At 51.2% G+C, this 27,373-nt stretch overlaps 1 protein-coding gene and 1 long non-coding RNA gene across 19 annotated transcripts in view, besides 3 other annotated features; one reads left to right on the top strand and one right to left on the bottom strand.

Annotated features, from left to right (window-relative positions):
- The window catches only part of EFCAB6 (EF-hand calcium binding domain 6), a 283,528-nt gene extending 275,622 nt beyond the window's left edge, over positions 1 to 7,906 (top strand). For 13 of the 18 annotated variants that reach the window (XM_047441462.1, XM_011530319.4, XM_011530317.4 and 10 more), the window contains 3 exons: positions 1,812 to 1,996; positions 5,720 to 6,127; positions 7,709 to 7,906. In XM_047441462.1, coding sequence (XP_047297418.1) covers positions 1,812 to 1,996; positions 5,720 to 6,127; positions 7,709 to 7,831 — 716 coding nt within the window. In that variant the 3' untranslated portion in view covers positions 7,832 to 7,906. Of the gene's footprint in view, positions 1 to 1,811; positions 1,997 to 3,155; positions 3,314 to 5,719; positions 6,128 to 7,708 lie in introns of those variants that run through there. The other 5 variants (NM_198856.3, NM_022785.4, XM_017028911.3 and 2 more) reach the window with 3 other exon arrangements.
- Positions 79 to 20,430, bottom strand: EFCAB6-AS1 (EFCAB6 antisense RNA 1). Its single transcript, NR_046563.1, has 3 exons — positions 20,308 to 20,430; positions 18,087 to 18,207; positions 79 to 1,831 (listed from the first exon to the last, which is right to left on the bottom strand). It is a non-coding gene; the product is annotated as an EFCAB6 antisense RNA 1 (long non-coding RNA).
- Positions 8,492 to 8,991: an enhancer, noted in NCBI's record as "H3K27ac hESC enhancer chr22:43923573-43924072 (GRCh37/hg19 assembly coordinates)". NCBI's record gives its function as "activates a minimal SCP1, AML or CMV promoter by ChIP-STARR-seq in primed H9 embryonic stem cells {active_cell/tissue: H9 hESC(primed)}" and the evidence as "EXISTENCE:reporter gene assay evidence [ECO:0000049][PMID:30033119]".
- Positions 21,324 to 22,082: an enhancer, noted in NCBI's record as "H3K4me1 hESC enhancer chr22:43910482-43911240 (GRCh37/hg19 assembly coordinates)". NCBI's record gives its function as "activates a minimal SCP1, AML or CMV promoter by ChIP-STARR-seq in naive H9 embryonic stem cells {active_cell/tissue: H9 hESC(naive)}" and the evidence as "EXISTENCE:reporter gene assay evidence [ECO:0000049][PMID:30033119]".
- Positions 21,702 to 22,049: a silencer, noted in NCBI's record as "fragment chr22:43910515-43910862 (GRCh37/hg19 assembly coordinates)". NCBI's record gives its function as "represses an EF-1alpha promoter that drives an FKBP-Casp9 reporter gene in an ReSE screen in HepG2 liver carcinoma cells {active_cell/tissue: HepG2}" and the evidence as "EXISTENCE:reporter gene assay evidence [ECO:0000049][PMID:32094911]".

The raw sequence follows: 27,373 nt of genomic DNA, 5'->3' as shown, positions 1-27,373 counted from the left end.
ATTTTTTGGTACAGACGGGTTTCACCATGTTGGCCAGGCTGGTCTCAAACTCCTGATCTCAAGAGATCTGCCCACCTCAGCCTCCCAGAGTGCTAGGATCAGGTGTGACCCAACACACCCGGCCCAGTTACATCTTGTTTATTCAACATTTTACATTACAGGAAAATACATCTGACCATGTCACTCCTTGGCTTTTTAGCTCCCCCAACACATGACTAATATACAGACTCCTTTTAAAGGAAAATGTTTTCTTTGAGAGCCTCCAATATTAATATAAATTACTTTTATCATAATCATGACCTTAAAATGCACAAATGAAACCAGGTGTAAACTCTTTAAGTTAGAGCCTATTAAAAAACACTTGTAAATTAAGTATAAAAAATCTGAAATCAGTAATATTCAAATGTTGTTCATTGATTTAATGTAACGTTTTGCTGAAGCCAAAACACGCATGTTGGTTGTCACACATATTGGCGTTCCCTTTTTTTTTTAGTTAATTCTTTGATTTTGAGAGTGATAAACCTTCACTGTGTTACTGTCCTTATTGCTACTGCTGGCTTTTTCTTTTCAACCATGAACTCATTTAAGTCCCCACTCAGTTATTATGATAGGCTTGTCAGATGTTAGTCATGCATCCAAAATTCAATACTGTAAAAAAAAGCCGATTGCTTTCCAAAAGTCATTCTGTATTTTCTCCTCACTGCTGATGGCCTTCTGTGAGTCAGAGCATCAGAGGCATGTATGGGCCAGTTCCTTGGGGTTCCATGGGCCCCCGCTATGTCCTGACAGGCACCGTGACCTGCTGCTGCTTCCCTGTGTGCAAGGGCAAAGAAATCTCTGCTTCTAGAACGTGCAACAGCCTCTCTTGGCCTGGCTTGGCATGCAGGTGTCGTTTGCCTGCAGTCTGCTTCCACTGGCCTTCCTCATTTGCCTCAACAACTCACACAGCATTCCACTCCCTGACATTCTGTTCTTTCAGGATGTCAAAACAAAGTCTAGTCTATGAAACTTCAACTCAAATCTTATCTTACATAAGCCTCCTTCAATTATGAGTTGTCACTCCCAGAGAAGTGTTGTCTTTACAACTGGCAGGAGAATGCGGCATGAGGATGAGTGCCAAGCGTGGGGCGAGCCTTGCTCTTCAGAGGTTCCGGTGGGCCAGCCTCTCGGCCACCAGCAACACTCCCCGTGGAGCATCCACATGAGCCTGATCAGAAAGCTGGACTCAGCCCCTGAGGCTGCACAGCTGTTATCTCCTAAAGGTGGTCCCTGTATCCAGAATAAGTTGTATATATTTTTAGATCATCAATGGAATGGAAACTTAAAGCGAGAATTTGCCTTGCATAACAGACACTAGAGAACCTGTCTCTGGTGCCGTTAGGAAATACTTGGTCATAGGGCTGAGTCTGAATTCCATCCCCACAGTCCAGCCCCAGCCAGGCTCACTATGAGCTCAGGGAACCTTCCCCTGCTCCTCACACACCTGACTCTGCCCTGACACGGCGGGGAACACCCCCTTACCTCCCTCTCTGTGTTTTGGTCATAGCTCCCATAGTCTCTGTCCATAAGCTGTGACCATGCAAACCCAGGACAGTGTGGGCCAGCGGGACTCAGGGTCCCCCTCCCTGCGGCACTTAGTTTGTCACATGTCTGTCTCCACATATGTCCAGCCACCAACCGTGAGTTCTTTGATGTGAGGACCAAGCCAGGGCCTGAAGCAGAGAAGGTGTCTCAGCAAGTGTTGAATGAATGAGTGAAGAATGAATGAATGAATGAATCGCCACCAATTGAACTGCCATTTTTTTCTGTAGCTCTTGTGGAGAAATTCAACCTGGACATAAGCAAAGAGGAGTGTCAGCAGCTCATTATAAAATACGACTTAAAGAGCAACGGGAAATTTGCATACTGTGACTTCATTCAGAGCTGTGTCCTCCTGCTAAAAGCAAAGGAAAGCTCACTGATGCACAGGATGAAGATCCAGAATGCACACAAGATGGTATGTTGCCCACCTGCAGGAAATGTGGGGCCAGGTGGAAAGGGGCGCTTTCATTTTTATTTTTTTCAAGACAGGGTCTTACTCTATTGCCCAGACTGGAGAACAGTGGTTCACGGTTCACTGCAGCCTCAAACTCCCAGCTTAGGTGGTCCTCCTGCTTCAGCATCCCAACTAACTAGGACCACAGGCACAAGCTGCCATATCCAGCTAATTTTTGTATTTTTGTGGAGATGGGATGTATTAGTCCATTTTCACACTGCTATAAAGATACTACCTGAGACTGGGTAATTTATAAAAGAAAGAGGTTCAATTGACTCACAGTTCCACATGGCTGGGGAGGCCTCAGGAAACTTACAATCATGGCAGAAGGTGAAGGGGGAGGCAAGCACGTCTTACATGGTGCCAGGTGAGAGAGAGAGTGAAGTGGGAACTGCCAAATACTTTTAAAATCATCAGCTCTCATGAGAACTCACTCACTCTCACAAGAACAGCAAGGGGGAACCTCCCCCATGATCCAATCACCTCCCACCAGGTCCCTCCCTTGACAACTGGTGATTACAATTTGAGAAGAGATTTGGGTGGAGACACAGAGTCAAACCATAGCACAGAGTTTTGCCATGTTGCCCAGGCTGGTCTTGAACTCCTGGGCTCAAGCAATCCACCCACCTCAGCTTCCCAAAGTTCTGTGATTACAGGCATGAGCCACCGCACCCAGCCTTGTTTTTGTTAATTTGTCGCACTTGCGGATCACCTAGCTTCACAGAAAAGGTGGACTCAGAGGCTCCAGGAGGCCAGAGCCCAGCCCAGCCCAGTCCTGCTTCCAGCCAGGACTCATCTGTGAAATGTCCCCGGCCTTGCTGCCACCTGCCCCATAGACCCTACTCAGATGATCTCTATACGCATGTGATAACGTGAGCAATACTTAGCCACCCCATTTGCTCCGTTACTTCAAGAGGGCCAGGCAGTTGTCAGGTCAGCATGAGACGCCAGGGTCTGTCGAAGGGGGCAAAAAGCCCACAGCCTGTGTGCTGGGGGCTCGCACCTGGGAGGCAAGGGCTGCGGTAAAGACAAGGCCTCTACTAGGCTTTGGGGATATTGAAAACAGCTCAGAAATGTATTTTCTTGAAAGTAATTTAAGATTTTCTTCCTCTCCTTTTAGAACCCTATAAGGGTCTGGAGACCCCAGAATGGGAACCAGTAGCCTTGATCCCAGGTTTTCCAACTGTTCAGGTGGCAGACACCTGGTTATGGTGGCTCTTCCCAGGCGTCTGTGTGACCAAGGTGTCATACAGTGCCCTGGAGGCAGTGCCTGCTCAGGTGACCCAAAAGGCAAAGTGAGGGGTGGGGTGGGTCACAGCACTGGTCAACATTGGAACTAAAAGGGTCTTCATCCACCAGCCATTTGAGATGGGGCCAGGCCCTTTCCTCTGAGTGTGTGTGGTGGATGGAGTCTCTCGTCATCATTTTTGGCGGAAACTACACCCACCATGCATTGTCTACAGTTTTCTCTGTTTCTTTGAAGAGGAATGAAAACCTAAAGCCACTTAAAGGGCAGCTGGAGGGTACACAGTTCTTCCAGATTTTTACCTTTGGTTCTCAGCCACTTACAGTTCCACAATTGAAACCCACACCCAGTGCCATCATGGCGTCAGCTCCAGCCCTTCCAAAACATGAAGCCAAAAAATGTTTTTAGTACTGAATTAACGTTGAATTGAGTTACGCTGAATTAAATAACAAGTACAAGTACATCTGGTGCTGTCGATTTGGGGAACAAACACAGCTGATTCCGACCACCTTATGACTCAGATGGAGGGACCAGAAGTGTCGGGCTGAAAGCCCTGGCCCTGGCCCCACCCCCCACCTGGCCCCGCTCCCACTCACCCCACCCAAGGGCCACACCTGCCTGGGCCACAGTGGTGAGACTCTAGGGAATGGAGAGTGGGTTAAGCCAGCCACAGTTAAGTAGATGCCATGCAGAAAGTTTCTTCACAGCTAGTTTTGCAATTTTGTGCAAAATCAGGTTCCATCTTAGCCTAGCTTCTAGTTTAGACAAACAGGAGCTAGTATCAAAAGCTTAGACCAAGTTTACAATAAAAAAAAAAAAAAAGACTTTAGACAGTTCTGCCAGCTCAGTTCTTCTGTGCACAGAGAAAAGACTGTCCCCATTCCATCTTCACGGGAGCCACGAACGTGGAGAACATGGAGACACGTGGCAGCAAGGCCGCCATCAATTCCATCCTTCCTCCGCCTCCCTGGGCCTCAGTTTCTCCTTCTGGAGATCTGTGGAGGCTCTAAGACCTTGCTAGGACGTGCACGGGCTTCTGCGGAAGAGCACACCAGTGCCGCCTTCTGAGCCCTCCCCAGTGAAAGGGGCCACCCCAGTTCCCAGCTTCCAGCTGCACTGTCCGTCCTCAGCAACCCCGCAAAGCTGGGGTCAGAGTGGGGTCATGCTAGGTGCTGCGGGTCAGCCCACAGAGACTGTGGCACTCTCCCCCCGCCCCTCCCAAGGCACCACTCTGTGGTTCCGAAGAGTTCTCCCGCCCCCACTCCTCAAATCCCTGCACCAGACCGGAGTGGATTGAGATTGAAGGCTTTTCAGGAGAGAGTAGGCTCCTGACATGGTCCTGGTCACAGCCCTTGTCCCATCTGGCAGCTGCCAAGGCCACCACCATGTAAGTGTGGAGGTCAGGTCAAATGTCTCCCTGCAGAGGAGCTAAAAAGGGGACTTCATTTTCTGGTGATTTGGGAGCTTTCTCCACCCCATTAGGCAGCAGAAAGATGTCCTCGGGGGAAGGCAGCTTGGGTGCCGCCCCTCCCTGCAAGGTGGGTCAGAGGTGGGGGCTCTGGCCGGGCTGGTGGTCCTGCCCTGTGATGTGTGGTGTGGGAGGTCATGTGAGCCCCACACCCTCTCTTCCCCACCTGTGGATCAGCTGATTGGGCAAATTGGCAGCTCATGAAGTCTTGGGTACCTGGGGAGCACACATCATACGTGCCAAATGATGTAAAAAAAAAATGAAAGCAGCTTAACCCTGTGCTCATCTGTCTTACATAGTGTTATGTTAAAATTCAACTTTCCCAAGATGTGTTACGCATTGTTGCCTACCGTTCACCTTTGTGATATTCAAACACATTGGGGCTAAATCATGTTCAAATGTCTTGTTTTCAATCTAATAGCACCTAAATGAAGTAATCACAGTGTAGTGTTCTAATTACTAGATATAATTACAACCTTGTGAATTTTTTTTAACACTGTTCATTATAATAACTTACTAGAAAACACAGACTGAAATCTCTTTTTTTCCTCAAACTATTTTCAAATTGGCCCATATCTGCCCGGCCATCTCGTTGCATTCCCTGGGAGGTGGTGTGGCCTGAAGTGTGTTGGGGTCAAAGCCCAAGTCACTTTACCTCCCCGAGTCTCCACTTCCTAATCTGTGAAGTGGGGATAGAGACCTGCCTTCTTTCCGGGTTGCCAGTGGGGAGGTGTAAATGAGATGGCTGATGTAATACACGTTTTTAAACAGCCCACACAATGGTCAGGGGGCGGGTGCGCATCTTTGTGACGAGTTCTGGCAGGCTCCCTCCTCGATTCAGAGCCAGCGGAGCAGGTTGGGAGGTGAAGCCGGAGCAGGGCTGGGCGAGGCGGGGGCGAGGCGAGGAGGAGCCCACCCCAACCCTCGTGTTCAAAAGCTCCCTCCTCACCCCTTCTTGTCTTGTGTCTAGAAAGAAGCCGGCGCGGAGACGCCATCTTTTTACTCTGCTCTGCTGCGTATTCAGCCCAAAATTGTGCACTGCTGGAGGCCAATGCGGCGCACGTTCAAAAGCTATGATGAGGCTGGAACAGGGCTGCTAAGCGTCGCAGATTTCAGGACGGTGAGCACAGCTCTGCGCCCAGTGCCTCTGCAGGGAGCAGCTGCCAAATGCCAGCGGCCAGAAACTTCCCACGGGGAGCCCTCTACCTGCTGCCGAAGGCCCGGTGTGACCTGGCTGCTTCAGATCTCACTTCCCTGGGACCCCCAAGTTATCCAGTCCTGGGTCCACTCGCCTCACCTTCAGACCCCGGGTTCTCCTTCCCAAAGGTTGCTGGAGCCCTGCGTGGATGCCCCATACCTGCATCGCCAGCTCCTCAGGGTCAGTGCCTGAGCCCAGGTTCCTTAAGGCACTGCCATCACTGCTGCTGCTGCTCCGAGCCCTCTCCCCACACCTGGGCTCTCCTGCAGGCTCTGAAGAGCATCTCTGACCTATGTTGGACCTTCCAAGGGGCCTGCAAAGTGAGCCCTGCCCCTGCAGTACACAGCGGGGCTCCACCATTGGGCATCTGCCCTGATGTCCCTGGGTGCCCTCCATGTCCCACCCCCAGAGCCTAACAAACACCCCGCAGTGGTTTTCCAATCCACATTCACGTTCCTCTTTCCTTCGGGGTTAAGTATAAATCTCAGTCAGGGATTCTCCCTATCCCTCATGCAAAGAAAGGAAGGAAGTAGGGCAGGTTCTGTTATTCCCTTCCGGCAACTTCCCAGGAATTCGGGCGTGGTGCTGGGAAGGTGGCAAAAGAAACCTTGCCCTCCACAGAGTCACAGATCAGATGGCGTAATTGAGGGGCCGTCTCAGACACCAGGCTCAGCTTCCTTTTCTGCCTTCATCCCATGGGGCCCAATGGCCAGGCCTGCTGACCTCAGCCCCATAGGACCTCTGGGCCATCTAGCCCTGCTTTCCAGTCTCCTCCTAGAAACAAGTTATAACGCAAATGTGGATAGGAAATGTATGGCCTCATCTTTATATACTATGAGGGTCTGTCAGGATTTGTTTCAGCTTCACATAATGGGGCGGGGAAAATAGCAGCTTAAGGTGAAAGTTTATTTCACTCCCACATAAAAGAAGTCCAGAGGTAGGAAGGTCAGAGCTGGTGTGGTGGCTGGACAATCATCAGGGACCACATTTTTGCTCTGCTGTTCTCAACTCCTGGCTTCCTTCCTCTAGGCCACCTCATGATCCAAGGTGGCTGCTGGAGCCCCAGCATCACAGCCATATTCCAGGCAGCAGGTGGAAAAACAGGAGAGAAAAGGGCATGCCCCTCTCCTTTAAAGGAGGCTTCCTGGATGTTCTACATAACATTCTTACTTAGCTTCTCAGGCCAGAACATACCTAGCTGCAAGAGAGGCTGAGACATGTTCCCGGTTAGCTGGATACAGAGGAGCTGGGAGAGAGTCAGGTTCTATAACTGAAGAGGAAGGGGCAGTCAGTATTGGGTTTACCACCAGCAGGCTCTGCTCCAGGCTCTGTTACGGTCTTATCACAGCAACTCTCTGCACTCAGCACCCACTGGCCCTGCCCTCCCCTGCCTGGGCGCACCCTGAGGCTCTGCCCCAAGTTAGGGCTGCATGGCCAGGTCTCCCCTTGAGCCCCCACCTCTCTGATCATCAGCCTTGTCTGAATACGTTGACCAGCCTTCAGCCCCTCAGGGAGGCAAAGGTGATCAACCTCCTGTCTGCTCCAGTTTCACACCCAGATGCACACAGGGCTGCCCTTGGAGGCTGCTTCCTGTTTGGGCAGAGGTTGAGAGGGCATAGAGAGAGCGCACAGATGGGAGGCTGACATCGGAAGTGGGGTTGGGGATCAGGTGGATGTGTCCCCCAGCCCCTTCCTGGCAGCCTGCCTCCTTAACCTAGGGCACCAAACAAGCCTCAGAGGCCCCTTTTCTCTGTCTTCCAGGTCCTGAGACAGTACAGCATCAACCTCTCTGAGGAAGAGTTCTTCCATATTCTGGAGTATTACGATAAGACGCTGTCTTCAAAAATCTCCTACAACGACTTCCTCCGGGCATTCCTCCAGTAGACACCCCTGCTGTGTGCCCAGCGGGACGACAGCCACAGGGCCTGTTTCAAGGCTAATAAAATCCTATAATTTGGGGGTTTCATGAATTTTCAAAAAAAACAAAACTCAAGCCCAAGCCCAGCCCGCCTGTCTCTGGGTCGGGGGTAGGCACAGCTGCCCTGGGTTCTGGCATAGGATGCTTGCTCTCCAGGTGCCAGGTGCTACCACTATGTCTTGGGCACCCTCACTTGTTAGTCTGAACAAATAATCTTTGCAAGAATGATTCTTGACACTATAAAATAATTACTAATGCTAACTTTTTTTTTTACACGGAGTTTGGCTCTTTTGCCCAGGCTGGAGTGAAGTGGCGCTATCGGCTCACTGCAACCTCCGCCCCCTGGGTTCAAGCAATTCTCCTGCCTCAGCCTCCCGAGTAGCCGGGATTACAGGCACCCACCACACCCGGCTAATTTTTGTATTTTTAATAGAGACAGGGTTTCGCCATGTTGGCCAGGCTGGTCTCGAACTCCTGACCTCAGGTGACCCACCCACCTCAGCCTTCCAAAGTGCTGGGATTGCAGGCATGAGCCTCTGCGCTAACATTCTTAAAAGCTTGGACTTTCCGGAGGTTTTGTTCATGGCCCCTGCCAGGTGTCTCCTCCAGTCCAGAGCAGTTGGGGCCCTGCACCCCATTACCCAAGGACTGCTGCCTCCTTTGACCCCCCAGCTTCCTGGGTCCTGGATCAGAGGACATCTGAGCCCCCTGCTGCAGTCAGGGTGGCCATGTCTCTGCTCCTAGAGGCACAGGCACTGACCGCCCCATCGCTGTCTTGCTCAGGGATGCCAGCCAGCCTGACTCCATGAAGAGCAACTCACGCCTGAGTGAGACCCCCTGGAGCTTTGGGCCTCCCTCCGCCTTCCTGAGCCCAAGCCTAGTGGCCACTGGCCGTAACCCCCACCAGGGACAGTTCTGAGAGGGCCCTTCCTTGGAACTGACAGGTTTGACAAGAGAAGTTTGAAAATCGTCACTCCGCTTTCATGGACTGTGACTCAGCTGAGAGACTCAGGCAGCGTTTGCCACCTTCTGGAAGGTTCTCCAAGGAACTGGGGAGCAGCAGGCAGGATATGGGGTGTGGGGGGAGCACCTCCCCTCCACCTGGGCCCCAGGCCTTGCCCACCAAAACGCCCTTCCCTGCCCCTGCACAGGGTCCAAATGAGGCCACACCCTGAGGTGAGCAGATCTCTCCCTGAGTGGCAGAGCCGCGCATTGGATGGGTGTGATTGGGAGGACAGGCTCCCGCCCAGCCCGCGCAGGCCTTCTATTTCCTGGAAAATGTTTCCTGGGGTCACCTTTGTTTCCATCTGTCCTTAGTTTCCTCCTCATTTCAGGCTGGACCGCTGCAGGGGGAACGGGGTGCTCAGGCAGCCCCAAGTTCAGGGAAGGGGAAGGGGACCCTGAGTAGGCACATCAACAGGGCCATGCAGTGATTACGGGACAGAGACGCCCTGGACCCCAGCTGCTCCTCCATGTGACTTTGTACCAGGTCCCATCCCTTCAGCGTCCTCATCTGTAGAAATGGTGGGACCACACTTGTGTCACCTTTGTTGTGGGACCTGGGCCTGTGGGCAGCAGATGTTCCCATGAGAGAGGCTTCAGCCCAGAATAAGGAAGGCCTGTGAGGGCCAGGGGCACCAGCCTGAGACTCCGGCCAGAGGCAGGGCAGTGTCAGCTCCCAGTGAACACAGGCATGCCAGACTCAGGCTGAGGACAGGCCAGTGCCAGCAGTCAGTGAGCACAGGTGTGCGGGACTCAGGCCGGGACAGGGCAGTATCAGCAGCCAGTGAGCACAGGTGTGCGGGACTCAGGCTGGGACAGGGCAGTATCAGCACCCAGTGAGCACAGGTGTGCAGGACTCAGGATGGTACAGGACAGTATCAGCGCCCAGTGAGCACAGGTGTGTGGGGCTCAGGCTGGGACAGGGCAGTATCAGCGCCCAGTGAGCACAGGTGTGCGGGGCTCAGGCTGGGACAGGGCAGTGCCAGCACCCAGTAAGCACAGGTGTGTGGGACTCAAACCCAGCGCTTCACACACATCATCATTTAGACTCCTGTGAGCATCCCCATTTGACAGATGAGGAAACTGAGGTACCGGAAGTTTTCCAGAGTCTCACAGCTTGCAGGATTTGGCCCAGACAGTGAGTAACAGCCCAAGCCAGTGTCAGAGGCCCTGAAGGTGGGCGGGCAGGCTCCCCTGCAGGCAGCACCAGGACTCACTCAGCCCTGTGCCCACATCCCTGCCTCCAAGCCCTGGCTCCTGCTGGCTCCTCCTTCTGGGACTACTTCTGTTCTCATCTGCACAGCCCGCGTACTCTTCCTCTGAGGCCCAGCTCCAATCCTCCTGTAACCCCTGGGCAGAGGCTGAGCTCCCCGTTCGATGCTGTCACCGCTTGGCAGAGAGAGTCACTCCCTTCTGCACCCACTGCTGGGCCCAGACTCCACCCATAGGGTGAGAACACTGACCTGCGCCCCCAGCCTGGCACACAGCAGGTGCTTTAATGCTGGCAGGGCACAGCCTCTGGGTCCCTTTCCCAGAAGGAAAGCTGACCAGGTTCTGCAGGGAGTGCTGGCAAGTTGGGGAGCAACTCTGGTGTTGGGGGCTTCTCTGTGGATGGAGTCTGTGAGTGCTGGACTCCCCATAGCACTAGGAGGTGGCTGTGGGGTCAGACCCACATTCTCTTGGCCACATCTCCCAGCTTCTGGCAAAACAAGTTCTGGATCTTCCCATGCATGTCCCACCAGCACTGCTGGCACCACACTCTGACATAACAGTTTTAAAATGCAGTCTCCCCTGTAAAAACAAATCAGGTGACACTGAGCTTTCAATGAGCTCTGGAAAGAAGGCTTGGCATCTGCCGGCTGTTATTCCAACCCCAGAAATTGAAAGTGTGTCCCCAAATTTGCAAAGTAACCTATTAAAATCCCCACCATGATGGAGGGTTGCATGCTTAGTGGTGAGGGGCAGATGGATGCCCTGCCCATGTGCCCTGCCTCAGCATTGGAGGCCCGACCTGGGTGCCCAGATCCCATCCTGTGTGCTGGACTTCAGCTTCCCCATGCTTGTTCTTACATATCTTTGCACTTGGCACCAGCAGTTTCTTCCACCTACTCCTCAGGAAATGCCGGGTATTCCTTCGAAACTCTCAAAGCCACCTCTTCCACGAAGCTTTCCTGACTTCCTGAGGCTGAGTCAGTACAATTAGTCTGAACCTGTTCAGCAGCCTTGAGGGTCCATCATTTTTAAGGGTTGAAGAAGGAGGAGGAGAAAGAGGAAGGAAGAAAAGAACAAGAAATGCAACCGACTGCATGTATGTGGACCTCAAAGCCTAAAATATTTACTATCTGATCCTCCACAGAGCAAGTTTGCTGGGCCCTGCTATACAAATGTCTGGCTTTCAACAAAAAATTTTGAGGTATACCAAGGGCAATTATAAAAACAGTTTGAGAAGACAAAGCAATCACAAGAATCAGACTCAGACATGACAGATTTTGGAACCATTAGAAAAATGTTTAAATAACTGGTTTATGTGTTAGAGCGCTAATGGAAAAGAAAGACAACACACGACCAGCCAATTTCAGCAGAGAGATGAAAACTGCAAGAATCAGAAAGGCTAGAAATAAAAAAAACACAGTAATAAAGATGAAGATTGCCTTTGACAGGCTCGCTCATCAGTAGATTCTACATAACCAAGGAAAGAATGAGTGAGCTTGAAGATAGGTCAATAGCATGTATCTAAACCTAAATGCAGAGAGAAAAAGAGTGGGGAAAAATCGCAGAATATATAAGAGCTGTGGGACAGTATAAGATGGTCTAATATGGGGCCGGGCACAGTGGCTCATGCCTGTAATCCCAGCACTTTGGGAGGCCGAGGTGGGCAGATCATGAGGTCAGGAGTTCAAGACCAACATGGTGAAACCTCGTCTCTACTAAAAATACAAAAATCAGTGGGGTATGGTGGTGTGTGCCTGTAATCCCAGCTACTCAGGTGACTGAGGCAGGAGAATTGCTTGAACCCGGGAGGCAGAGGTTACAGTGAGCCGAGATCGCACCACTGCACTCCAGCCTGGGTGACAGAGCGGTGAGACTCTGTGTCAAAAAAAAAAAAAAAAAAAGTCTAACATGCACATAATTCAGGAGGAAAAGAAAGAGAACATGGTGCAGAAGAAATATTTGAATAAATAATGGCTGAGGATTTTCCAAAATTAGTTACAAACACTAAACAACAGAGAACAGAAGCATATAGAACCTGGCAGGATACACACACACACACACACACACACACACACACACACACACACACACACACGCACCTCTAGGAATATCATATTCGAATTGCTGCAAAAAAAAAGAAGGCAGCTAGAGAAAAAAGATGTACATGACCTACAGAGGAACAAGGATAAGAATTATAGCATACTTCTCAGAAACCATGCTAACCAGCAGACAATGGCATAACATTTTCAGAGTGCTGAAAGAAAATCATCAAGCTCAAATTTTGTAACCAGCAAAATACCTTTCAAAAATAAAGAGATACATTGGATTTTCTAGGCACACAAAAACTGAAGGAACTCACTGATGGCATACTTACCATAAAATAAATTTTAGGCTGGGTGCGGTGGCTCACACCTGTAATCCCAGCACTTTGGGAGGCCAAGGCGGGTGGATCACTTGAGGTCAGGAGTTTGAGATGAGCCTGGCCAACATGGTGAAATCCCGTCCCTACTAAAAATACAAAAATTAGCCAGGCATGATGGTGGGCACCTGTACTCCCAGCTACTTGGGAGACTGAGGCAGGAGAATTGCTTGAACCCAGGAGGTGGAGGTTGCAGTGAACCGAGATCACACCACTGCACTCCAGTCTGGGTGACAGAGCATGACTCTGTCTCAAAAAATAAATAAATAAATAAATAAATAAATAAAGGAAGTTCTACAGGCAGAAGGAATATGATTGAGTCAGAAATTTGGATCTATCAAAGAAATGAAGAGTATCAGAAGTGATATAATCAAAGGTAAAATAAAATATGTTTATACCTGAAATTATTTTAAAAGTTAGCCATCTAAAGCAAAATCTGTCACAGTGTATTATGTGTTTACACCACATTTAAAAGTACAACAACAAGCACGAGGGATGGGCAGAAGGAATTCAGAGTGTACTGTTAAAAGTTTCTTATACTGCATGTGAAGCAATATGATATAATTGAAGACAGATTGTTTTATAATGTATTTATAAACCATAGAGCAATCACTAAAAATATACTTTTAAAAATAGACTTGCAAAAGGTAAAATTAACAAGTGAACAGAGGAGATAAAAGGGAATCATGAAGGGTTACATCAGCAGAAATGGCAGAGGAAGGCCCTCCAAAAGACCTTTCCTCCAAAACAGCAGCAAGAAAACTGGCAACAATGGTCAGGATCAACTTTTTTGAGAACTCTAGAAATTATCCAAAGGCTTGCAGGAACCGAAGGGGCACTTATTCAAGAAAAGTAGCTGAGCGTTGGCAAGACTTGTGGCTTTTTTTTTTTTTTTTTTTTCTGAGACGGAGTCTTGCCCTGTCACCCAGGCTGGAGTGCAGTGGTGCCATCTCAGCTCACTGCAACCTCCACCTCCCGGGTCCAAGTGATTCTCCTGCCTCAGCCTCCCAAGTAGCTGGGACTATGGCATGCGCCATCGTGCCCGGCTAGTTTTTGTATTTTTAGTAGAGATGGGGTTTCACCACGTTGGCCAGGCTGGTCTCGAACCCCTGACATAATCCACCTGCCTCAGCCTCCCAAAGTGCTGGGATTACAGGTGTGAGCCACTGCACCCAGCCGACTTGTGGCATTTTAACTGCCCTAGTCCAACCAGCCACTCTCCAGGTCCCCAACAGCCTTAGAAAATAACAGCCTGCATTCCCAGTTCAGTGTGATAGTCACCACACAGAGCAGAACAGAGCTGGAGCAACTTCAAAGCCTATTTCACCAAAATATGGTCGCTATTTGGCCTGCATGGTGGATCCCTGAAAGATGCCCTTTGCAAGGCTGGCTGTTTTGGGCCTAACTCGGAGCTTGCCCAGGTGTAAAAAACCTTTCTCCCAGAGTTAAGGAGGGAGTATTTGTAAAAAAAAAAAAAAAAAAACAAAACAAAAAACAAAAACAAGAAAGTGTTTTAACTTGGTGGCCGCCTAAGGCAATGGATAACAGCTGGGGTAATCAAAAGGCTACTCAGAAAGCTTAAAAGGAAAAGCTGGGAAATAAAATGTCACGTGGAGGCCTTAAAAAACACCAACATATTTCTTGAGAATCTAGAAAGCTACAAATGTAGACAGTGCTGTGTGTATGCCCGGGGTTGTGAGCATGCTCAGAAAAGACATTAAAAAGGCCCTACACTCTCACCTCTGGCTGACTTGCTGCACCAGCAGAAAGTGAAGGCTGATGCAGAGTGGCCAGCCACCTGGCTGAATGTTGAAGGTGCGTCCTGACAGGCACTCAGAGCATTTCAGCAGAGACTGGGAAATTTTTTATTTTTATTTTATTTATTTATTTATTTATGTGAGACGGAGTCTCACTCTGTCACCAGGCTGGAGTGCAGTGACGTGATGTCGGCTCACTGCAACCTCCCCGGGTTCAAGCGATTCTCCTGCCTCAGCCTCCCGAGTAGCTGGGATTACAGGCGTGTGCCACCACGGCCGGCTAATTTTGGTATTTTTAGTGGAGACGGGGTTTCACCATGTTGGCCAGGATGGTCTACAGGATGGTGATCCGCCCACCTCAGCCTCTCAAAGTGCTGGGATTACAGGTGTGAGCGGGACTGAAAAATTTATTGGTTCCAAGTGTTTAAGGAAACCTCTGTCTCATCATCAGCTGACCACTAAGCTAATAACTGAAAGGAAATTTCCGTGGCCACACATGACAGAGAATGCAGACCTTAAAGAATTCACATGGAAGAGTCACTAAACAAACAAAGCCAACTACAACAAGCAGCAGCAACAAATCCTTCAGGGCATTGAAGGGGGAGGGGACAGGGGAGGGGACGGGATCTTACTTCCAAAGTTGCCAAACTACATTATTTAAAATATTCAGTTTTAGGCCGGGTGCGGTGGCTCACACCTGTAATCCCAGCACTTTGGGATGCCGAGGCAGGCGGATCACCTGAGGTCAGGAGTTCGAGACCAGCCTGGCCAACATGACAAAACCCCACCTCCATTAAAAATACAAAAATTACAGCCTGACCAATATGGTGAAACCCCATCTCTACTAAAAATACAAAATTAGCTGGACATAGTGGTGCACACCTGTAGTCCCAGCTACTTGGGAGGCTGAGGCAGAAGAATCACTTAAAACTGGGAGGCGGAGGTTGCAGTGAGCTGAGATCATGCCACTGCACTCCAGCCTGTGACAGAGCAAGACTCCAAAAAAAAAAAAAAAAAAAGAAAGAAAGAAAAAAGGCATTGTAGACCTAAATGTAAAACACAAAACTAAAAAAAAACTCCTAAAAGAAAGCATGAGAGAAAATCTACATGACCTTGGGTTTGGAGATGGGAAATGGATTTTTAGATATGACACCAAAAGCACGAGCTATAAAAGAAGAAATGGATAAATTGAACTATATCAGAATTTTTAAATTTTGCTCTAAGAAAGACACTGTTAAAAGAGTAAAAAGAGAACCCACAGACTGGAAGAAAAAAAAAAAAAAAACTTGTATCCAGAATATAAAGAACTCTTAAAACTCAACAGCAAGAAAACAAACAACCTGATTTTTTTAAAAAGAGATGAAAGATCTAAACAGACTCCCACAAATGAATAGATGAGAATGATAAGCACAAGAAGGATGTGCTTATCATTAGTCATTAGGAAAATAGAAATTAAAACCATGGTGAAACACCCACATGCACACTCAAATGGCTACAATTTTTAAAAATAAGATCAATTCTGGTGATGATATGAATCAGCAGGAATACACATTCATGGCTGGTAGGACTGCAAGCTCATACAGCCATTTTGGAAACAGTTTGACTACACAGGGACTGAAAAAGGGGATTTTTAGGGTGATGGAACAACTGTCCTCCATGATCATATGATAATAGATACTGGGTTCTATGCATTTGTCAAAACCCACAGGACGGTACATGATGGAGAGTGAACGTCACTTTATGCAAATAAGTAATCAGCCAGGAGGTCAGGGGATCCTAGGATGGAAAGCAGACCAGGGACAAAATAATCCAACTGTATTGCAAACGGATGACATTAGCCACACTGAAAGGCGATGGGGGAGGAACTGACCACTGTAACTTCATAAAGCTGCAAATGAAAAGCCTGCACGTGGACACGCACTCTGGCTGGAAACTGTGCTTCTCACAAGGGTAAGATGAGCAATAAGCCGTAGGTATGTTAGGGGTGGACAAATCCATAAGTAAATTGTAATTGTGGGAGCCAGCCTTCTCACCATCCACTGTCAAAGAAAAAAGTTACAAATGAGCAGCAGGGCACAGTGGCTCACGCCTGTAATCCCAGCACTTTAGGAGGCCGAGGAAGATGGATCTCTTGAGCCAGGAGTTTGAGACCAGCCTGGGCAACATGGCAGAACCCCATCTCTACAAAAAATACAAAAATTAGCCAGGCGTGGTGGCATGCACCTGTAGTCCCAGCTACTTGGGAGGCTGGGGCAGGAGGATTGCTTGAGCCCAGGAGGTGGTGGTTGTGGTGAGCTGAGATCACACCACTGCACTCCAGTCTGGGTGACAGAGTGAGAACCTGTCTCAAATAATAATAACAGGTTATAAATGAACAAGGTAGAAAAGCAAGAATCAGCTGCATTGCTGAGATTGCATTGTTGGGTCAGGACGGGAGGTGGGGCTATCAGTATGAATTAATGTTTATTGATAGAGACAGGGATGGAGAGATGGGGTAGATGATTGATAGATGATAGGTAGTAGGTTGATAGATGGGTGGATGGTTGGATACAGGTAGAGATAGATAAATATGTGTGCATAAATGGGTTAGTACACTAAATATATTTCCTAGCTCTGTGTCTAAGAAGGCCTAGAAGCAGTGATGCCACAAGTTGCAACCAGCACACCTACCACCCAGATCTTTTTTCTTTTTTTTTTTTTGAGATGGAGTCTCACTCTGTCACCCAGGCTGGAGTGCAGTGGCACAATCTTGGCTCACTGCAACTTCTGCCTCCCAGGTTCAAGTGATTCTCTCCTGCCTCAGCCTCTTGAGTAGCTGGGATTACGGGTGTGTGCCACCACACCTGGCTAATTTTTGTATTTTTAGTAGAGACGGGGTTTCGACATGTTGGCCAGGCTGGTCTCGAACTCCTGACCTCAAGTGATCTGCCCACGTTGGCCTCCCAAAGCGCTGGGATTACAGGCGTGAGCTACCGCACCTGGCCCTAGATCTCAGTTTCTAAGTAAAAGGAGCTAGGGCTCTCTGGACAAATGACTGATTCTAAGGCCAGGGCAAGGTAAATATGAGAGGAGCCTAGAACATCTTCTGGTGCCTGAAAGTAAGGAACTGAAATTAATAAACAAAAGGAATCAGGAGCTGATTTACCAGAGCTTCCAGCGGACAAACCTGCAACCACTGAAGCAACGAAACAGATAATGATAGAATCAGTTTCTAACCTAAAGAATGAAATAATGAGTTCAGACTGAGATTAGTGCATAAACAGCAGAGAGGGGGCAAATCTTCCTTACAGAAGAATTCCAAAGGATGAATGCAGAAGGAATGAGGAAATGGAAGGTCACCATGTGAGCACCACAGTGGCAATTGCTGAAGCCGAGATCGACTGGCGGCTGCTAAAATGAGTGGGCAAAACTTGAAGGAGAAATGGGATATTGGCGTGGCCTCACAATATCTCCCCCAAATATTGATTAATTACCGTGCTGGTTCTAACAGATGCCCACAAATCCTTTGATGTTCCTCCCTCCAGGGGGAGAGGCTTAACTCCTCTCTCCTTGAGTGGAGCTGGACCTAGTGGCTCGCTTCTAACAAATTGAATGTGGATAAAGAAGAACAGTATCTTTACAGTGGAGAAACCCGCAGACGTCACTTTAACCAAGGGATCAAGATGCACATCGCCAGGAATGCATCCTGCTCCTCTCGCATTACCCTAGATGGATGACTTGAGATGGCACCTTCCCCTCTGTGGGATTTTTCTAAAAAATACATAACCCCGGACTAATCATGAGAAAACAGCAGACAAACACAAACTGAAGGACAGTCCGCAAAATACTCACCCAGCACGCCTCAAAACTTCCAAGGCCAGAGGAAGCAAGGAAATACGGAGAAACCATCTTAGACTGGAAGACAGTTGGGAGCCATGATGACTAAAGGCAGCTTGGGATCATGGATTGGATTCTGGAACAGAAAAAGGACACTAGTCAAAAACTGTTGACATCCAAATAAAGACTATATTTAACAGTGTTGTACTGGTGTTGATTTCTTAGTTTGGATAAATGTATCATGAATATACAGGGGAAACTGGCTGAAGGGTATGGAGGAACTCCCTGTATTAGCCTTACAACTCTTCCTCAAAAGGAAAAGTATTTCAAAATAAAAAACGGTTTTTTTTGTTTGTTTGTTTGTTTGAGACAGGGTCTCCCTCTGTTACCCAGGCTGGAGTGAACTGGCATGATCCCAGCTCACTGCAGCCTCAACCTTCCAGGCTCAAGCAATACTCCCACCTCAGCCTCTCAAGTTCCTAGGGCTACAGGCACATGACACCATGGCCAGCTAATTTTGTTTATTTTTTTGTAGAGGCAGCATTTCGCTCTGTTGCCCAGGCTGGTATCAAACCCCTGAGCTCAAGAGACCCTCCTGACTCAGCCTCCCAAAGTGTTGGGATTACGGGCATGACTCACCATGCCAGGCAAAATACAAAGATTGTTTTTAAAGAAAAAAAAAAAGGGCGCGGTGGTTCACGCCTGTAATCCCAGCACTTTGGGAGGCCACGGTGGGTGGATCACTTGAGGTCAGGAGTTCCAGACCAGCCTGGCCAACATGGCAAAACCCTGTCTCTACTAAAAATACAAAAATTAGCTGGGCATTGTGGTGCTTGCCTGTAATAGTAGCTACTCGGGAGGCTGAGGCAAGAGAATCGCTTGACCCCAGGGGGCGGGGGTTGCAGTGAGCCAAGATCTCACCACCGCACTCCAGCTTGAGAGATAAGTGAGACTCTGTCTCAAAAAAACAAAACAAACAAACAAACAAAAACCAAAAAAAACAAGTGCCTGACTCGACTTACCGTTGGGTTTGCCCCTTTGTCATTCATGAAAGCACACCCAGGCAGGTCCGCGAAGGGCGAGAGAGAAGTGGGACATAGTCCAGTCACCCAGTCACCCTGACTGATTCATCCTGTGTCAGGCAACAGCCAGCCAGGCTCAGCAGAGCACCTCACTGACCCCGCGGACCCCAGATGTGGGAGCCCTAAACACATTGTGTGCCACGGAGACGGGGCTGTCACACAGTTACTGTGGCACTGGATAACAGGCCTCCCTTAAGGGCAGGGAACTTGGGCCATTTGCCTGTCTGTCCCCAGGACCCAGCCTAGGGAGCATCCCTGCCCCTGTGGACCTCACTCACCCTCCCTCACTCTGTCTGACTCTACCATGCTGGGCTCTGTTATATTCCTTGGAGAGGCTCAGCCTGCTCCTGCCCCAGGGCCTTGGCACCTGCCAGCCCCTCTGCCTGGCACGTTCTCTCTATCCTCAGCTCTGAACATGGCTGGCGCCCTCTTATCATCTTGGAGTCCTCCTCGGGAAGCCTGATGTGACCTGGTCCCCTTCCGTGGTCACCCCATACCCTGTGACTGTTTTGTTGGCCTCGGAACCCTCACTTGGCAGCTCTGAGATGGCTTGGCCCTGGCTTTATTGTCTTTCTCCCCAGGAAGTATAAACTCCAGCAGTAGCCCCCTGCCTGGAATAGAGCCTGAAAGCAGGGCACACCATCCATGTGGAGTGATTGTCAAATGACGAAAGCTTGGGCTCCAACTCAGGATTAACCATCCACCTTTGTGACCTTGGCAAAGCCACTGATCCACACTGTCCACCCCCGCAGAGTGGAGTGGTGATTGCCTCTTTCCAGAGGCTGCATGGAGGACCATATGTCCAGGCCATATGTGAAGAGGGGGTTCTCAACGGAGGCACGATAACCACGAACCCCCACCGTGGCTGGAAGCAGCCTGGCCACAGTGAGTGGGCAGGTCCCACCAGCTTCTCTCACCTTCCAGGAGGAGCCGCAGGGCCAGGAAGGAAGGTCCCTGTCCTTGCTTGCAGGCCTCTCCCAGGAGGCCAGAAGCACCCCCTGACACCCCGCTCCCTGAGGGTCCCATCCCCATCTGAACCGTTTCTGACCAGGCAGGAGAAGGGCAGAAGCTGACGGCAAGCACGAATGAAGGGCGTTTGAAAGGCTGGGAAATACGTCTTATCTCCGCCCACCCCGCTTTTCAAATATGCTTACCTTTCCAAGTGACTGTGTGCATAGCGAAAGCTGTCATGGTGCACCCAGACTGTTATTGCGATCGGGGGCACCCCAAGAAGACGTTTCCACGGCGGCTTTTCTATTATAGCTGGTACTTCAGATATGCAAATATATCTTCCCAAAGCAAGACTCTGGGCAGGTGTTCTCGGCTCAGACGGTGAAGACATCTCCGTGGAGGTGTGAAGGACGAGCCCAGGTGTCTATCCCAGCTCCTTCCCAGGCTGGCCGGCACCCCCCGCCCATGCCTCAGGAGGGCGCTGTGGCTGCAACAGGGGCTGAAGGCCTTGCCCAACATCAGACTTGCAGACAGGGCCAGCTTCTCAGGCGTGCAACCAGGGCAGCTGCCAGGGGCCGAGCGCACAGAAGGAGCCTGCACTTGGGGTTAAGGCTTTGCTGTGGTCTCCTTATTCTTAATTATATCTTCAACAGATGTTTTGTAAGTGAAGTCTGATGAAACAATGGAGCATGGCACCTTGACTCCTGAGCTGTCCCACCCTCCACTGCACTCCTGCCCCTTCCTGCCTTCCTGGGTCAGGTTCTTTGCCATGCACTTCCTGCCACTGGTGCCCCAGTGCCACCGGGCTCCCCTCCCCACCTTTGTCCCATGACCCCTGGTGCATGTCACCCAGGCTGGGGACGAACCACATCAGCGGGGGAGGCCTGCCTTCCACTGTTGCTTTCTGCCCCTCAGGAGCCAGAGCCGGGGCCTGCACCAGGAGGACTGGGGTTAGGTATGTGCCCAGGAGTGTCCGGGAGGTAATGAGGAAGGCAGCAGCCATCCCTGCCTGACTGGCAGTGCCAGGCTGTGCTCAGCAGGTGGCTGAGTGGGGGCCTCTTGCCCACTCCCAATTCTAAGGTTGAGTGTGACGCCTCGGGGCCACCTGTGGGTTGGGGTGGCCGGCCCATGGGAAGGGAGATTCACCTCCCCACCCCTAGCTGGGGTCTGCAATTTCAGTTTTGCACCTGGCCCCACATATGACATAGCTGGTCCCATTTGAAGGGGTCTGGGAGGCACCACCCCCACGCAGCCCCTGCCTGAGCCTCATTGCCCCTCAGCTTCCCCACTCCAACTTCCCAGACCACAAATCAGAGCCTGCTTCCCTGCTTAGACCTCCCCCTTGTCCTCCACCCAGTGCCCACAGGGTCAGTGGGAGCCCCTCACTGAGACCTTCCAGAGTGGCCCCATCTACTCCCCTCTGCACACTCCAGCCTCGGCTCTGTGTGCCAGGCACAGACTGCAGTAGGAACTGGGAGGCCAGGCCCTGCCCTCACGGAGTAGCCCCAATGGGGAGTAACAATCCCCTCCCCAGTTTCCCCACTTGAATCCAGCTCTCAGACCCGGACCCATCACCGGGGGAAGAAGCAGAGCCTGCGTGAACACCGATCCTGCAATGCCCTGGTCAGCATGTGAGAAGGGCGCCCCGGGCCTCCCCGCAGGGATCTCTGTCATTCGCTTCGGTAACACATGCTGGGGAAAGGAGGTGGAATCCAGGGCTGGAGTTGATGCCGACACCCTGGAAACTGAAACACCGTCGTGCCCACTGGGAGAAAATGGGCGTAAGGTCAGGGAATCGGGGGGCCAGGGGAATGCAGCCTTCCAGGCCTGCCTTGCCGCGTGTTCACTGAGGCATGGAGTCAGGGAATCGGGGGGCGGGTCCCTTCCAGGCCCGCCCCTTGCCATGTGTTCGCTGGGTCCGCAAACCCCGGCAACGGTCACTTCTTGCTTCGCAAATACTTCGCAAATACTGGAAACTTTGTGCTGTGGGAGCTGGCCACGCTGGTTCCTGCGCCCGCAGGGTAAGAACCATTCCAGCAGGAAAGGCCGAGTGAAAGCCTGAACCAGGTGTCTCTTCCTCTTCTTTTATTTATTTATTTGTTTGTTTGTTTTGGGACAGAGCCTCACTCTGTTGCCCAGGCTGGAGTGCAATGGCACCATCTTGGCTCACCGCAACTTCCGCCTCCCAGGTTCAAGCGATTCTCCTGCCTCAGCCTCCCAAGTAGCTGGGATTACAGGCACGCGCCAACAAGCCCAGCTGATTTCTTTTGTATTTTTAGTAGAGATGGGGTTTCTCCATGTTGGCCAGGCTGGTCTCAAACTCCTGATCTCAGGTGATCCGCCCACCTCGGCCTCCCAAAGTACTGGGATTACAGATGTGAGCCACTGCGCCCAGCCTATTTTTTTTCTTTTTAGAGACAGGGTCTCACTCTATTGTCAAGGCTGGAGTGCAGTGGTGTTCTCGGTTCACTGCAGCCTTGAATCCCTGGGCTCAAACAATCCTCCCACCTCAGCCTCCTGAGTAGCTGGGCCTATAGGTGTGTGCTACCATGCCCAGCTTATTTTTTGAATTTTTGTAGAGACAAGGTCTCATTATATTTCCCAGGCTGGTCTTGAACTCCTGGCTTCAAGGGATCCTCCCACCTTGGCCTCCCAAAGTTCTTCATCTTCTTTTTTCTTTCTTTTTTTTTTTTTTTTTTTGACTCTGTCGCCCAGGCTGGAGTGCGGTGGCGTGATCTCGGCTCACTGCAACCTCCGCCTCCCAGGTTCAAGCCATTCTTCTGCCTCAGCCTCCCGAGTAGCTGGAATTACAGGCATGTGCCACCACGCCTAATTTTTGTATTTTTAGTAGAGATAGGGTTTCACCATATTGGCCAGGCTGGTCTCGAACTCCTGACCTCATGATTCACCTGCCTCAGCCTCCCAAAGAGCTGGGATTAGGGGGTAAGCCACCACACCCAGCCAGTTCGTCATCTTCTTAAAGGAACACCAGTACTATTAAGGTATAGGGTCCCACCTTATGATCTCATTTAACCTTAATTACTTCCTCGAAGGCCCTTTCTCCAAATACACACCCAGTAGGGATTAGATCTTCAACATATGGATCTGGGGATGCACAATTCAGGTCATAACACCCCATGCCTCCAGACCCCTAAAATTTGAACCAATGTGGCCAACTCCTGCATCTTTGTGGATATCTCCTACTCTCTAGGGTGCATGAGTTTTACCCAGGTATCTGGAGAGCATCCCAACCATGTCTTACTGCTCACGTCGGATTAACGTGACGCCGTCAAACCTGTGGGCCAGTGTCAGGACGGCCAGAATACCCGCCTCTTTGGACCACATTGTGACAGAGAGTGAAACACTTCGCATAGTTTCATGCCAAGGCCACACATGTCTATCACTGGTCATCCAGTGGGATGCAAACCCATTTTGTTCCTCCTTCCTGATGGGCTTTGAAAAGAACACATTCATCAGATCAGCAGCCGCACAGCCCCGTATTTAAAACTGTTCATCTGCTGAGTACACACACCATATTTGGCACAGCAGCTACAACTGGACTATTTCTTGGCTAAATTTTTGGTGGTGCACTGTCACCTGCTGTGACCATCATTTTCAGGGGGGCCAGGTGGACAGAGGAATTGGAGATGTGTTGGAGGCCAACCTTGAGAGTGGTCCTGACCTCCGCACGCCCCTTGGGAAGCTGTGCTGACTTTGGTTGACTATCTTTTGGGCAGGGACGGGTGCTCCGCCACGGTGGCCCCTGTGGAAATGGGCACTCTGCCTTATGATGCAGCATATACCTTTAGCAGTGGCCTTACCTGCTGCTGGGTCTGTGAAAGATGGAATTAGGAACGAAGGGCTGGGGGGAGGTGGCCCAGGCCACCATCACACCCTGTGACCAACGTGGGGAATTTATGCCTCTAGTCCCTTGCAGCACAGGCTCTGTAAGTCTATAGGCCCCGGATTCCAGAGGTTCATGCTTCCATCAAGGCTATCTCAACTGAAAGCTCTGGTGTCAGCTGGCCCACCTGGGCTTCCTGAGCCAGGAGACAGGCAGCGAAGAACAAAGCCCCCCCACTGGCAGGGGGATGGCCTTGACCATCACCGGGAAAGAGGACTACTGCCACATGAGGGACAGGGAGATGTGTGCCTGGCACTCGGGGGCCTGCTGGGGCATCTCCTGGTGCTCCCACAGCCAGTTCCAGCGGTAAGTGGGCAGGTGCACACACCACAGCCTATCAGGGGACAGTAACCAGGGCTTTCGGCCCCTAGGGATACGGGAGGGTCACCCTACCAGTTAAGCCCCTGGGCCAGCATGAGTGCTAGGTCAGAGGGAGGGAATCCAGACCAGGTAGAGGGGAAGGTAGGGAGTGTTGGTTACGGACTCAGGACCCATGGCAGCAGCACAGCGTCCACCCAGGTTTTCCCAGGAATTCTGACCAACCAGGGAACTGGAGAAGCCTGGATGCAGTAAGTGTGAGAAGCACACGGATCTGGGGCTGCAGGAGGTGGACAGTGGTGGATGCTCTGGTCTGCCCAGACCCCAGCTGCTAGGAGGCCTCTCCTCTGCCTCCTTCTAGAGAAAGTTGCCCTTGACTGAGCAGAAGCTGCCTTGCCTGGGATGTAAGACACCCCCCATCTCTGCTCAGGGACGGCCTACAGCCAATCCCTGACTTCCTTAGGGATATAAAAGGCTGGGGTGTGGGTAGGAAGCAGTGTGGACCAACTCTGTGGGGCAATTCACATCCTATGACCCCGGAGGATCAGGTTGAAGCATGAATTCCAAACGAATTCCAACCTCACTCTTTCCCTGTCCTCGCCTGCTCCCCATGTCCCTCCCTCTGGAGCACTTGCCCTTAATGAATCACAAACACGCAGCCCTGTGTTGGGACATGCTTCTGGAGGAACTAACCTCATATCCCCACCACCCACCTTCAGAACAGCCCCTCCCTTCCTCTCCACGAATGTGAAAATGAGTCCTGGGTCTTGGCAGTGGACAGGCTGCAGGCCGCAGCCACATATTCCACTGGTAGCTCGGATACTCACTGAGCCGTGGGCGAGCCGCGGCCCCTCCGAGCCTCAGCTCCCTCTTCTGTGAAGGTAGGTTGGCCCTGCAGGTTGCTGTGGATCTTAAACGACACAGATGCGTTGAGTGCCCGGCACACAGAGGTGGGCATCCCAACCCCTTCATGACTTCCTGCTGTTCAGGGCCCAGCCACACTTCTTCCGCCAGGAAGCTTCCTCCAGTATGCTGAGTTTGGTCTTCACCAGGGCCCCCAAGACTGACCCATCTGCCACTTACTGGGCCCCAATATATAAGACCTGAGGGGTTCAGCTTTTCTTCTGGGGTCAGATGAACCTTCCACAGTGCACCGAGAATTTCCAGATGCCAGGCCTAATCCCCACATCGTGGAGACCTTTTCAGTCGTGCCTTCGATGGGAAGTGGGGCAGAGCCTCTCAGGTCTGTGTGACAAGGCCCCCAGCTGGCCAGGCAGGTTTAGGCCCAGGTGGGAGTTGTGGGTGGCATCCGGGGAGAGTTGGGTGGAGCCCCTGTCCACAGGGCTTGTCACCTCCGCCAGTTCATTCAGGAATCTGGGAAGTGAGTCTCCTAGAAGAAAAAGTCCTACGAATTTGGTCCTCATGGAGGTTCAAGGATCAACTCCATGGAAGCAAATTGCAAGACGGAGCTGCTGGGGCTGGGGCTGGGGCTCTGGGAGTGGGTGCACCATCAGAGAGGAGGCAGGGAGGGGAAGCAGCCTGCTGCATTTGCCACTGGACTCCCACTGGCAATGGAGAGCGGTCTCAGGCCCCATGCTGCTCTGTCTCCTGTGCCTCGGGGCTGCCTGGGGAATGATGGCTGCAAGCCTGGGTGAGCCCAGAGTGCTGCACCCCCAAGAGCTGAGGCTCCAACACCAGGCACCTCTGCTGCAGGATGCCCTCACTGTTGGTGCAGTACCCTGGACAAATTCAGAGCTGTCTACACATCCTGCATAAGCATGCAGCTCAGCTGCTGCTGCATCTCAGCTGGGCCAACAGGACCCTGATGCATTCAGGCGGCACCTACCACGTGACAGCACCACTAGTGGCAGCAGCCAGAGTCGCTTCCCTGCCCCTGCTCAGGAGCCCTGCTGGGGTGCATGCTGGCCAAGAGCAGCAGCTGGGGTCCTTAAACTGATTAGTTCCTTGTGGCCTCTGGATGGGAAGCCAGGGCCTGGGATGGCTGTTGTACACCCCTGTGAGACCCTGGTGGAGGGGACTCTTGGAGGGGCAGGTGACAGGTGGGGCCAGTCTGAGAACAGGAGAGGGCAATGAAGAGGTGGCACATTGTGATCTGCCCCAGGCTGCCCCCTGCCCTGCACACCTCCCTAGGAGGTCTCCCCTGCCCCACATCTTTGCTTATGACCCACATCTGGCTCCAGAGACACTGTTTCTCCTGCAGGCCTGTTTATCCTCTGAACACCTCCCCTGTGTAGCCCAAAGTCTCCCCCAGCTCATGAGTCCCAAACAGCACTCCACGTCCCTCCTCAGCCCTGTTCTTCCTGCTCCTGTGCCCCTTCTCCGTGACAGCACCCAACTTCCACTGCCGTCCTTGGCTGTCCCTCCCCCATGCCCCACATCCATTCCTCACTGCCATCCTACCTCCTAAATCTATTGCCGCCGCCACCACTTCCCTAGCCCAAGCAAGACCCATGGGAGGTACTCAGTGGTGTTTGTAGATTGGATGGATGGATGGGAGGGAGGGAAGGATGAAGGATGGATGGATGGATGGAAAGAGGGAGGGAAGGAGGAGGAAGGGATGGATGGTGGATGAATGGAGGGATGGAGGGATGGATGGATGAGGGAATGGGTGGATGGATGGGGCAAATGGAGGGATGGAGGGATGAAGGGGGGGATGGATGGATGGATGATAGATGGGGGATAGATGGATGGATAGATGGGGGATGGATAGATGAATGGGGGGTGAATAGAGGGATGATGGATGGGGGGATGAACGAAAGGATGGAGAGATGGATGAGAGATGGATGGATAGATGGGGGTGAATGGATGGATGGAAGGATGAATGAAGGATGGATAAATGTCTGGATGGGGGATGGATGGATAGCTGGGGTATGGATGGACGGAGGGAGGGATGGATGGATGGAGGGATGGATAGATGGATGGGGGATGGATGGGTAGATGGGGGATGGATGGATAGATGGGTGGATGGGGGGATGGACAGATGGAGGGATGGATGGATGGACAGTTGGGGGATGGATGGATGATAG

This window comes from Homo sapiens, chromosome 22 (genome assembly GCF_000001405.40).
Source record: "Homo sapiens chromosome 22, GRCh38.p14 Primary Assembly".
Taxonomy (NCBI): domain Eukaryota; kingdom Metazoa; phylum Chordata; class Mammalia; order Primates; family Hominidae; genus Homo; species Homo sapiens.
The sequence above is the reverse complement of the archived record's forward strand: the minus strand, read 5'-3'. Positions and strand labels throughout refer to the sequence as shown.